Raw genomic sequence first — 9,446 nt, 5'->3', positions numbered from 1 at the left:
CCAGCCTGAGCAATACAGTGAGAATACATCTCTAGGCCAGGAGCAGTGGCTCACGCCTGTAATCCTAGCACTTTGGGAGGCCGAGGCGGGCAGATTGCCTGAGCTCTGCCTGAGCTCAGGAGTTCAAGACCAGCCTGGGTGACACGGTGAAACCCAGTCTCTACTAAAATACAAAAAAAATTAGCCGGGTGTGGCAGCGTGCGCCTGTAGCTGTGCAGGAGGCTGAGGCAGGAGGATCGTGTGAGCCCAAGAGATTGAGGCTGCAGTGAGTTGTGATCACGTCTCTACACTCCAGCCTGGGTGACACAGCAAGACCCTATCTCAAAAAAAGGAAAAAAGAAACAGAACAAAACAGAACAAAACAGACTTCATCATTTAAAGACAAGCAGAAATACTTACAGACGAATCTTTTTAAAAGCCAAGAAAAGAGAGACTCCATGGAGAAAGTATCAGTTTGGAAGTAACAGATGTCAAAGGCAGACAAAGGGTCCTGGGAGGTAGGGGCTAGAAAATGCCCGCTGGATTCGACTGCAATGAAATCATTGGTAATCTTTACAGACTGACTCAGCAACGTGAAAAGGACAAAACTAAAACACTGAGAACTGAAATGAGAAACAGAAATGAGGAAATCTTCAAAAGAGAGTAACTGTTTGTATTGTTTGCTGTGCAACCCAAACAGAAAGACGAACAAATATTTGAAGGATGATCAAGTCATTCATTCCCCCCATGATCTAGGACTCAACAGTAAAAACAGAATTCTGTCTACTGGGATCACAATATTTCCGTCCCTGGAAAAATTATAGGCACCAAGTTCTCCTTGGGCAGCAGGCAGGCCCTCTGCTTACATAAGCACCAAGAATACGCCGTAAGTTACGGTAATTTAATGGTTGTTATTAGGAAGCCTATCCGCAATTGTATCAACTGGAATGAAGAAAGTTTTCAAAGTCCTAGAAAATCTCTTAAATCCACAAGTAACAAAATTGGTTTCTCCTTATAATGAATGCAAGCGATGTCATGGATGGTGATATGGTTTCGGTTTGTGTCGCCAACCAAATCTCATGTTCAATTGTAATCCCCAATGTTGGAGGTGGGGCCTGGTGGGAGGTGATTGGATCATGGGGGCAATTTCCCTTTTGGTGCTGTTCTCCTGACACTCAGTGACTTATCACAAGACGTGGTTGTTTAAAAGTGTGTAGCGCCTCCCTCTCCCTCTTCCTCCTGCTCTGGTGATGGAAGATGTACCCGCTTTCCCTTTGCCTTCCACCATGACTGTAAGTTTCCTGAGGCCTCCCCAGCCATGCTTCCTATGATAGAGCCTGCAGGCGTGAGCCAATTAAACCTCTTTTCTTTATACATGACCCAGTCTTGGTTATTTCTCTACAGCAGTGTGAGAATGGACTAATACAGATGGCATTTTCCTTTTGTGATGACTGCCAAGAATATCAGTCCTGGGTGTGGCTCAATTTCAACAGCCTTAAAATCTACTATCCACACACACAAGCTTCACAAATCATTTTTGGTGCTGATCTGCCACACTATATTTTACAGGACAATGTCTATTTCCACATTCCCATTTTAAAGTATGAATCCTGGCTGGGCGCGGTGGCTCATGCCTGTAATCCCAGCACTTTGGGAGGCTGAGGCGGGAGGATCACCTGAGGTCAGGAGTTTGAGACCAGCCTGGCCAACATGGTGAAACCCTGTCTCTTCTAAAAATACAAAAAATTAGTTGGGCATGGTGGCACACGCCTGTAATCCCAGCTACTCGGGAGGCTGAGGCAGGAGAATCGCTTGAACCCAGGAGGTGGAGGTTGCAGTGAAGCGAGATCATGCCACTGCACTGCAGCCTGGGCAACAGAGCAAGACTCCATCCCAAAAAAAAAGAAAAAAAAAAGTAGGAATCCTTACAAACCTCTTAAAATGCATCATAAAATAAAGTTGAGGAACATATACACAAGCATGAAAACTCACCTGCAATGTGTTCATTTTCTGCTGCTCTTGGAAACGTGCAGAGACTGTGGCTGGTAGACCTAGAGGGGGAGAAGCAGGTCACTGAAGTCATGAGTGCTCTGGCCTGCAAAGGCAGGAATCTCCTGCGTAAGAACCACAAAAGAAAGCTCAATAGGCTAACACCCTGTGAACACTCAGCCTGCAAACACTCAGAAGGGCCTAAAAGAGTGATACAGGGTTTCGCCATGTTGGCCAGGCTGGTCTCAAATTCTGGCCTCAAGTGATCCACCTGCCTTGGCCAACATGGCGAAATCCCGTCTCTACTTAAAAATAACAAAAAAATTAGCCAGGCGCAGTGTCACATGCCTGTAGTCCCAGCTACTCAGGAGGCTGAGGCACAAGAATCCTTTGAACCTGGGAGGTGGAGGTTGCAGTCAGCCGAGACCACGCTGCTGCACTCCAGACTGGGTGAGAGACACTGTCTCAAAAAAAAAAAAAAAAAAAAAAGACTGATAAGGGAAGCATGCACTTGTAACTTTGTAACTCTAAGATAATCAGGTAGTAATTAGATGAGTTAAGACTCTCATGGGTAACATGACTTCTTTTACAAATAGTCTGCCATCATCAAATACAACCCGCAAAAAGAAAAAAAAAATTCCCATTATACGGCTCATGTTTTTTGTGGTTTGTTTGTTTGTTGAGACAGGGTCTCAATCTGCCACCCAGGCTGGAGTGCAGTGGTACATTCACAGCTCACTGCAGCCTCCACCTCCTGGGCTCCATTGATCTTCCCACCTCAGCCTCCTGAGTAGTTGGGACCACAGGTGCATCCCAGCATGCCTGGCTACTTTTGTATTTTTTGTAGAGTCAGGGTCTCCCTATGTTGCCTAGGCTGTTCTTTAACTCCTGGTCTCAAGGGATACTCTTGCTGTAGCCCGGCAAAGTGCTGGGATTACAGGTGTGAGCCACTGCATCCGGCCCGCATTTTCTTATTGTCTCTTTAAACTGCTTAAAATCAAAGAAACCATAGGAATTGAGTATGTGAGCTCTCAGAAATGAAATGAATGTGTATAAAATATGGTTTTGTTTCTAAATTATCTAACTGAACTTGGTTATTGCTGCACCTAATAACCTTCTACTAAGAAAACTAGGATACGGGAGAAAGAACACTGGCCTGGGAGATAAGACTCCTGAGTTCTACTATGAGCAACTCTACCCACAAAGCCAGTGACCCGGTCAAGTCACCCACCTGCTAAGGCCCAGTCTCTTCCCCTAGCAACTGAGGCAGCAAGAGAGAATCCCTGCAGACTGTTCCTGCATTACTACCAGTCTCCAGGGCAGATCTAAGGGGGGAATCAGCAGACACTTAAATGAGAGAACAGAGATGCTGACGGACGTTTAGAGGCGGTCGAAATCTGGAGCACGGAAAGGAGGAGGAAGGGCTGTTAGGGGTTAGTGGGGAGTGGAGACGACGTCTGCAGCTGAGGCTGGTGATACCCTCCACGCCCCCGTAAGCCTCGTCCTCCCAGATATTCCCGTGCAGCGCCTCAAGGCCAAACACACGCCTCTCCTGCAAGCGATCGGACCCTCCCCCGCCTCATACTCTAAGGTCCCGAACATACGGTGACTTCACCCAGGCCTTTCTCGCTCCGGGCCCGAAAACCCAAAGACTTACCCTCCTGGGGCTCCCCAGAGGCCGGGGCGGGGCTGCTGTCGCTGGCGCGCGTCTGCTCGCGAGGTCCCCTCTTGTCCACCTCACCAAGGCTGTTCTGCTCCTGAGGGGCCCGGGCCGGGCCTACGGGGCAAATCCAGGAGGGTGTCCTTCCCGGGGCCCAGATCCGCCTCCCTGGGACTCACCGTACAGCGGCGGCCTGGGCCAGGCCCCCAGGACACACACGGGCCAGGCCCGGTTCCCGCCGCCCCTTCGCCTCCGCCTCCGCTGCCACCTTCGCCACCTCCCGCCCGGTTCCCCTGGCCGCAGGGCCGCCGGCTCAGGGGCTCACGCTCGGGGGTCCCCGCTCAAGCCTCCACCCGGCCCGTGCGAACCCTGGCCCACATAGCTCCGCGCCCGCCTAGGTGCTGGCCTAGGCGCTCAGCGTCCAGCCCCGCAGGCTCAGCGATTCTCGTCCACTGGGGGCCAAAGCCTGGGAACTAGAGCAAGCGGTGACCTGAGGACACACAGGAAGCGATGGCAGTGCGGCGGCAGCGCGCATGTGCGAACACGCACCCAGGGAGAGGCGCACACGCGCAGGAGTTCACCGGAAGTCCGCCTCCCAGGGCCCACCGTTGGTCCCAGGACAAGGGCCGGACTCTATTTCCCATGAGCCTACCAGCGCCCCCCAACTTTAGGGGCCATTTCAAATGTCTCTACCCCGTCTAAAGGTTAAGAAGCCCCAGGCTATATGAGCTTCGGCAGCCCTGATCCCCGGACTGAACTTCGCATTTGTCTTTATTCCCTTTTAGGGTCAAGTCCAGGGCTGCAGTGACTGGGTCCTGGAGCCCAAGGCCTCCAGGTTAGAACCGAGTTTCCCATAACGAGAAGGAAAGGAAAGGGTGTATCGTGGTCACTGCGCTGAAATGCTAAGAGAAGTTTCACTCAAATACTAGGACAGGATAAATGCCCAGCGATGCTTTCCAAGGAAGAGAAAGAAAATAGAATTTGTGGCCGGGCGCGGTGGCTCACGCCTGTAATCCCAGGACTTTGGGAGGCCGAGGAGGGCAGCTCGCGAGGTCAAGAGATAGAGACCATCCTCGCCAACATGGTGAAACCCCGTCTCTACTAAAAATACGAAAATTAGCTGGGCGTGGTGGCGCGTGCCTGTAATCCCAGCTACTCCGGAGGCTGAGGCAAGAGAATCGCTTGAACCCGGGAGGCGGAGGTTCCAGTGAGCCGAGCTCGCGCCCCTGCACTCCAGCCTGGCGACGGAGCGAGACTCTGTAGCTTTTCTAGATCACACAGCAAATGCCTAAAAACTGTAGAGAAATCAGGAAATACACAAATCGAACAAAGAAAAGATACCTGTGATTTCACCTTCCCCAGGAGGATTATGTTTAGGGTTAGGTTATGTTGACCAAAAAGACTCAAAGTTTGTAAAGAGTTTTATTCTGGGCCTCCTATTTGAGTGACCATGGCTGGTGACACAGCCTCAGGGGGTCCTGAGAACGTGAGCCCAAAGTGGTTGGGTTACAGCTTGGTTTTATACATCTTAGGGAGACAGCAGTTACAGGCAAAGACATAAATCAATACATGGGATGTACACATTGGGTCAGCCTGGAAAGGCTTTCAGGTCACTAGCAGATTCAAAGATTGGCAGTTGATTCAGAGTTAAGTGTTGGCTGAACAGTTGGAAGATGACGTAAAGAAATGGGCCATTGCGGTGGCTCTTGCCTGTAATCCCAGCATTTTGGGAGGGTGACCTGGGAGGATCCCTTGAGGCCAGGAGTTCAAGGACAGCCTGGGCAACACAGCAAGACCCCCATCTCTACAAAAAAAAAAAAAAAAATTATCCAGGTGTGGTGGTGCATGCCTGTAGTCTCAGCTACTTAGGAGGCTGAGATGGGAGGATCGCTTGAGCCTGGGAAGTTGAGGCTACAGTGAGCCATGATGGTGCCACTGCACTCCAGTTTGGGCAACAGAGAAGAAAAGAAAGAGAGAGAGAGGAAGGGAGGAAGGAAGGGAGGGAGGGAGGGAGGGAAAAGAAAGAGGGAGGGAAAGAAAAGAAAAGAAAAGCTTGAGTTAAGATAAGGGGCATTGTGGAAACCAAGGTTCTTGTTATGTAGATGAAGCCTCAGAACAGGCTTCAGAGAGAATAGATGATAAATATCTCTTATTGGATCTTAAAAGGTGTCAGAATCTCGAGAAAAGACCTGGATTCTTTTCTGTAAGGGAAGGAGATTCTCTACAGAATGCAAATTTCCCCCAAAGAGATGGCTTTGCAGGACTATTTTAAAGTGTGACAAAGAAAATATATTATGGGGTAAAATACTATGATTTCCTTCAGGGACTGCTATCTGTCACGTGATGCTATATCAGAGTCTGGTTGGAGTTGGGTATCTTACTGACACAAAGAGCCTGTTCTGTCAGTCTTATGATCTGTAGTCTAGTGTTAATGTTGGTCAGCTGTGCCTAAACTCTGAAGGGAGGAGAGTATGACAAGGCATGTCCGACCCCCTCCTTCCCGTCATGACCTGAATTAGTTCTTCATGTTTATTTTGGATCCTGCTGGCCAACAGGGGAGTCCACTCAACAGCTGTGGAGGCTTAGAATTTTATTTTTGCTTTACAATTAAAATGTCAGTTTTCAAAAATGGGATATAAGGACAATGATTCATCACAACTTTTTGGTGAAATCTAACAGTGTTCTTGCCCAGTTGTTTCATAAAAACTGGTAAGGAAAAGACTAAAAATAAATTCTTCTGAGGCCAGGAACAGTGGCTCATGCCTGTAATCCCAGCAGTTTGGGAGGCCGAAGTGGGTGGATCATGAGGTCAGGATATTAAGAACATCCTGGCCAACATGGTGAAACCCCGTCTCTACTAAAACACAAAAAATTAGCTGGGTGTGGTGGTGCGCGCCTGTAGTTCCAGCTACTTGGGAGGCTGAGGCAGGGGAATCACTTGAACCCGGGAGGTGGAGATTGCAGTGAGCTGAGATCACGCCACTGCACTCCAGCCTGGCAACAGAGCAAGACTCCATCTCAAAATAAATAAATAAATTATTCTGTTAACCTAGAATATTCTCTCCACAAATTCAGAAAATAAAGAAAACAATTTTATCATTGAATAAGCATTAAACCAGACTGTGATGCCCATCACAGGTGATCCATTAATGAGATGCAAAGAGAAATAAAGCCTCTTTTTTTTTTTTTTTTTTTGAGACAGAGTCTTGCTCTGTTGCCCAGGCTGGAGTGCAGTGGTGCGATGTCGGCTCACTGGAACCTCTGTCTCCCCAGTTTAAGCAATTCTCCTGCCTCAGCCTCCCAAGTAACTGGGACTACAGGTGCATGCCACCACGCCTGGCTAATTTTTTGTATTTTTAGTAGAGACGGGGTTTCGTCATGTTAGCTAGGATGGTCTCGAAATCCTGACCTCATAATTTGCCCGCCTCGGCCTCCCAAAGTGCTGGGATTATAGGCATGAGCCATGGCGCCTGGTCAAAGCCTCCTTTTTGTATAGCCTGGCAGATACAATCCATTGCATACATGCTCTCAAGATAAACAGTAACTCATCCTCATGTAAAAGGACTTGCTATGCTTTTTTTTTTTTTTTTTTTTGTTTTGAGACAAGGTCTCATTCTGTCATCCAGGCTGGAGTGTAGTGGTGTGATCTTGGCTCACTGTAACCTCCACCTCCTGGGTTCAAGTGATTCTCGTGCCTAAGCCTCTGGAGTAGCTGGAATTACAGACATGTGCCATCATGCCCAGCTAATATTTGTATTTTAGCAGAGACAGAGTTTCGCCATATTGGCCAGGCTAGACTCAAACTCCTTTCAATTTCTGTGTGGCTTCAAGTGATCCGCCCATCTCGGCCTCCCCCAGAGTGCTGGGATTACAGGTGTGAGCCACTGCGCCTGGCCTGCTATGCATTCTTAAACACTCATCCTAAATTCACCTGGAAATCAAGGTGGCCACCCATGCTAGTTAATTACCTGTATCAGATAAAAAAAAATTAAACTTCTCATATCTCCTTGACAAGCAGGTAGTAACAGCTCAAGGTGCCTAGGCTAAACTCCCTAGGCAACAGGAAGATAGGGACACTATTTTCCTCGAGGTTTACATTTCAAAGACAAGACTGTCAGGCTCTTAAGAAAAAAATTCCTGGGTTGTGGCCCGGCAGGGTGACTCACACCGGTAATCCCAGCACTTTGGGAGCCCGAGGCGGGTGGATCACCTGAGGTCAGGAGTTCAAGACCAGCCAGACCAACAAGGTGAAATCCCATCTCTACTAAAAATACAAAAATTAGCCAGGCGTGGTGGCAAGTTCCTGTAGTCTCAGCTACTCAGGAGGTTGAGACCTGAGAATAGCTTGAACCCAGGAAGTGGAGGTTGCAGTGAGCCGAGATCATACCACTGCACTCCAGCCTGGGTGACAGAGCGAGATTCTGTCTCAAAAAAAAAAAAAAAAAAAAAAAAATTCCCGGGTTGTAGTGTTGGCAAGAAGTTCATTTACCTTTTTAAAAGATTTAGATACATGTCAAAGGCACAAAAGTTATTTATATTACAATGTTTATCAGGAAATACTCTTTAAAAAGGAGAGGAGAAAAGGTTAATTTACCTTTTGGCAAATAAGACAAATTTAATTTTTTTTTTTTTTTTTTTTAGAAAATCCGTACAGTGAGGGCTGGCCACGGTGGCTCACATCATCTGTAGTCCCAGCACTTTGGGAGGCCAAGGCAGGCGGATTGCTTCAGGCCAGGAGTTCAAGACCAGCCTGGGCAACATGGGAAAACCCCATCTCTACTACAAATACAAAAATTAGCTGGGCATGGTAGTGTGCGCCTATTGTCCCAGCTACTCTGGAGGCTGAGGCACGAGAACTGCTCGAACATGGGAGGCAGAGGTTGCAGTGAGCCAAGATTGAGCCACTACAATCCAGTCTGGGCGACAAGAGCGAAACTCTGTCTCAAAAAACAAAAAAAAATAAAAAACAAAAACAAACAGCCCCTTTTCCATCTCCCCACCACAGAGCTGTCTGCAGTAATTTCATTCGCTTATTTCCTCAGGGTTTACTGGGTTTCTGGTTTCCAGAAGGGGAAGTTCTCTTCAAGGTACAGAAACCATGACTCCGCAGAGAACCACAGAGACAGCAGCATGACCAGACCCCGGTCAGGTGTCGGGACGCTGCTGGGCTGAGACTTGGGCTGAACTTCCTCTGCAGGTCGACTTATTCCCATCAGCACCAAAGCCGCTGGAGGGGGTCATCCAACAGCAAAGGAAGCAGGGAGCGGAGCTTGGAGGCTGTTTCAGAAGGTCCCACTGAGCCAAGGACTCAAGGCCTGGCCACAGCCCTCCCAAGTGAGGCCCAAAGCATATTTCACCATGCTCAGAAAACCTTGTCTGCTCATTTCAGTCCATAGTGACTTTGCTTTCTTTAGGATCTCTCTTGCACTGTCCAACCCAGAGAGTTCCAAATCTGAATGGATTCCAGTGACAGAGTTAAATCACGCCCCACCTCAGCTTTTGAATTACAATCAATAGGGCTGGGTCCCAGCATCTGTATCTTAATGTTCCTCCATGTGATCCTCATGCTGAAAGGCTGGTATTTGCAAATCCCTTCTTGTGGGGAGTGAAGAGTTTTTTTAGAGACAGGCCTCACTCTGAGGCCCAGCCTGGAATGCAGTGGTGGGATCACAGCTCACTGCAGCCTCCAACTCCTGGCTACAAGAAATCCTCCCACCTTGGCCAACGAAAGTGTTGGGATTACAGGAGTGACCACTGTGTCCGGCCAGGAAAGCCCTTCTGTGTCACTTGAATGGTATTTCTGCAGCATACCTGCAGC

At 48.5% G+C, this 9,446-nt stretch overlaps 5 annotated features.

The window, feature by feature from the left end:
- Nucleotides 3,347–3,396: a silencer, noted in NCBI's record as "silent region_17959". NCBI's record gives its function as "represses an Ori minimal core promoter by ATAC-STARR-seq in GM12878 lymphoblastoid cells {active_cell/tissue: GM12878}" and the evidence as "EXISTENCE:reporter gene assay evidence [ECO:0000049][PMID:35858748]".
- Nucleotides 3,807–3,916: a silencer, noted in NCBI's record as "silent region_17958". NCBI's record gives its function as "represses an Ori minimal core promoter by ATAC-STARR-seq in GM12878 lymphoblastoid cells {active_cell/tissue: GM12878}" and the evidence as "EXISTENCE:reporter gene assay evidence [ECO:0000049][PMID:35858748]".
- Nucleotides 4,067–4,276: an enhancer, noted in NCBI's record as "active region_25634". NCBI's record gives its function as "activates an Ori minimal core promoter by ATAC-STARR-seq in GM12878 lymphoblastoid cells {active_cell/tissue: GM12878}" and the evidence as "EXISTENCE:reporter gene assay evidence [ECO:0000049][PMID:35858748]".
- Nucleotides 4,328–5,303: an enhancer, noted in NCBI's record as "H3K27ac-H3K4me1 hESC enhancer chr7:6768255-6769230 (GRCh37/hg19 assembly coordinates)". NCBI's record gives its function as "activates a minimal SCP1, AML or CMV promoter by ChIP-STARR-seq in naive H9 embryonic stem cells {active_cell/tissue: H9 hESC(naive)}" and the evidence as "EXISTENCE:reporter gene assay evidence [ECO:0000049][PMID:30033119]".
- Nucleotides 7,811–7,860: an enhancer, noted in NCBI's record as "active region_25633". NCBI's record gives its function as "activates an Ori minimal core promoter by ATAC-STARR-seq in GM12878 lymphoblastoid cells {active_cell/tissue: GM12878}" and the evidence as "EXISTENCE:reporter gene assay evidence [ECO:0000049][PMID:35858748]".

The sequence above is a fragment of the Homo sapiens genome, chromosome 7 (genome assembly GCF_000001405.40).
Source record: "Homo sapiens chromosome 7, GRCh38.p14 Primary Assembly".
Classification (NCBI taxonomy): domain Eukaryota; kingdom Metazoa; phylum Chordata; class Mammalia; order Primates; family Hominidae; genus Homo; species Homo sapiens.
The sequence above is the reverse complement of the archived record's forward strand: the minus strand, read 5'-3'. Positions and strand labels throughout refer to the sequence as shown.